The 2,788-nt window shown below is 51.0% G+C and overlaps 1 annotated feature.

The window, feature by feature from the left end:
* Window positions 2,629-2,768: an enhancer, noted in NCBI's record as "active region_14715". NCBI's record gives its function as "activates an Ori minimal core promoter by ATAC-STARR-seq in GM12878 lymphoblastoid cells {active_cell/tissue: GM12878}" and the evidence as "EXISTENCE:reporter gene assay evidence [ECO:0000049][PMID:35858748]".

A 2,788-nucleotide genomic window follows, 5' to 3' on the forward strand; every position in this document is an offset into this window, starting at 1 on the left:
GCCTCCTAAAGTGTCAGGATTAAAGGCATGAGCCACTATGCCCAGCCTGGGTTCAATTTCTGACTGCTGGCTGGGCACGGTGGCTCACACCTGTAATCCCAGCACTTTGGGAGGCTGAGGCAGGCAGGTCACTTGAGTTCAGGAGTTCAAGACCAGCCTGGTCAATATGGTGAAAACCCGTCTCCACTAAAAACGCACACAAAAACCCAGGTGTGGTGGCATGTGCCTGTAGTCCCAGCTATTTGGGAAGTTGAGGCAGGAGAATTGCTTGAACCCAGGAGGCGGAGGCTGTAGTGAGCCAAGATTGTGCCACTGCACTCTAGCCTGGGTGACAGAGCGAGACTCCATCTCAAAAAAAAAAAAAAACAAAACCCACCAAATTCTGACCACCTGTCAGTGGCTGTGAAACCTTGGGCAAGTCACTAAACTTCTTCAGATATCAATTTTCCCACCTATAAGATGGGTTGTTGCAAATAAGGTTGTAGAGAGCATTAAATAAAAAGTGCGGCCAGGCACAGTGGCTCACGCCTATAATCCCAGCACCTTGGGAGGCTGAAGTGGGCGGATCACCTGAGGTCAGGAGTTCATGACCAGCCTGGCCAACATGGTGAAACCCCATCTCTACTAAAAATACAAAAACTAGCCGGGCATGGTGGTGGGTGCCTGTAGTCCCAGCCACTTGGGAGGCTGGGGCAGGATAATCGCTTGAACCCGGGAGGCAGAGGTTGCAGTGAGCTGAGATCGCACCACTGCACTCCAGCTTGGGTAACAGAGTGAGACCCCGCCTCAAAAAAAAAAAAAAGTGCTTGGAATTGTGCCTGTCACATAGGAAACATTTTTTGTTGCTGCTGCTGATGACGATGATGTGTTCTTCTGGTTGCCGGGGATACAGTAGGGAATTAACCCAGGTCTTTGCTCATGGTCCTCCTGGTAGGAGCTGGATGAGTGGCCTCTCAGTGACTGGCCATGTAACTGCATCGCTGGGGTGTCTGTTTTGCATGTGGAATAGGATATTTCTTGTGTGCTGTGATCACGGGCGATTCTGTGGTTGTGTGCCTATATTTGTGTTTGTGCTTGTAGGTGATTATATTGCTGCATGTGTGTGATTCTTTGTGTGGGTGCAAATGCAAGATCAAATCTAACACAAATTGTGATGGCACGTGTTTGGTGTGATCTTGCATTTCTGATTCTGAGGTGCTGGGAGTGTGTCTATAATTGGAATCTTGAGAACCCTTCTCTCAGCTGTGAGGCCACTCCCTTACATAACATCCCATAGGTGACCCCTGGGAGAGATCCTTCCAAGATGAGCCTTGGTTTCTCCCTAATGGGGATAGTGGGCCCAGTGGCTCAAGGAGAAACAGGAGATTGAAAGGGAAGGTGGGAGGGGACCAGTGAGGCCAGGGAGAGGGTAAGAGACGTGATGGTGACACAGAAAAACGATGGCTGGATTGGGACAGAGGAAGAGCTGCCCAGAGACGGGGATCTCTGTCCATTCATTCCATGAGCATTTCCTGAGCCCCTGCAATGTGCCAGGACCTCTGGTCGGTTCAGGGTCTGGGGGAAAGCAGAGAGACCCAGAGAGATGACCCCCACCAGGAAAGCTGTTGCTGCCCCAAGGTGGCCCACTGCCTCCACAATGGGCCTCAGTGACAGTTCTGAGTGACCGAGATGCAGTGATGGGGAGGGACAGAGAAGGCCAGATCTGTCCAGATCAAAGAACAGAGGCCATGGGGGAAAGGTCCCTTCCAGGCGAAGGAGACCGCCATGAATCATGTTCTTATCACCTCCTAATAGGCTCATGATGCAAGTGCACCTCCTAATCACTATTTTCGACCCCAACCAGGCTCACGCCCACAGTCAGAAGGGTTGGACAAGCTTAGTATCGTGGATTCACGGGAGAAAATATCTGGGAGACCCCATCCTTGGACCTGCTTTCCCCAGGACCCAGGAGTCCGGGTCCCCAGCTCTCCAGTTCCCCAGCCCCAGGAGTCCCAGCTCTCAGCCCCTCTCCTTTTGTTTGTTGCCTGCGTTTTCTTTTTTCTCTCTGGGCCTGTAACTCTTTGTTTATCTCCATCTATGTTTTGTGTCTCTCTTGTATCTTTACATCTGTATCTGGATTCTCCCTCACTAGGCCTCAATTTTCTCACTTGTAAACTGGGGATAATACTACTAATAATAATCCAATCTCTCAGAGCTGTGGCGAGGAAGACATGAGATAATTATGTAAAATGCTCAGCACAGAACCAGGCCACAGTAAACTCAGTACAAGAGAGCTCTGTTATTATTACTGTTTTATTTTTGCCATCTCCCCTTTGGTATCTCTATTTTTCTCTTAGTCTCACGTGAGTCTCCAGTCTCCTCTAGCTCTGGGTTCCTTTTGCAGACAGCACCTGCCTCTGACTTCCCTTTTCGGGATGAGGAAAGGGCATATCCAGGCCAGAGCTTCCCCTGAGCCTCTTCCTTCTCCCTCTCCATTACAAGCTCCGCCTCATTACCCAGAACACTTGCCTGGGGGTAAGGCCTGGCTCCCTTCCCATAAATAGCCTCATAAAATCCTGAACCCCAAACCTGTCATCCCTGGGCGGGCGAGTGACTCAAGATCCCGGAGTTCCCGCTCCTAGACACCAAACCTTCAGGTTTCCAGCCCCCTCCTCCCTCTGACCCAGGAGTCCGGGCCCCTAGTCCCTCCTTCCTCGGGTCCCAGACTTCTCCTCCTTCAGAACCAAGGAGTCTGAACTCTCAAATCCCCAACCTTCCTCAAGACCCAAGGATCGGGTCAGCAAACAGC

This window comes from Homo sapiens, chromosome 19 (genome assembly GCF_000001405.40).
Source record: "Homo sapiens chromosome 19, GRCh38.p14 Primary Assembly".
In the NCBI taxonomy this organism is placed as follows: Eukaryota; Metazoa; Chordata; class Mammalia; order Primates; family Hominidae; genus Homo; species Homo sapiens.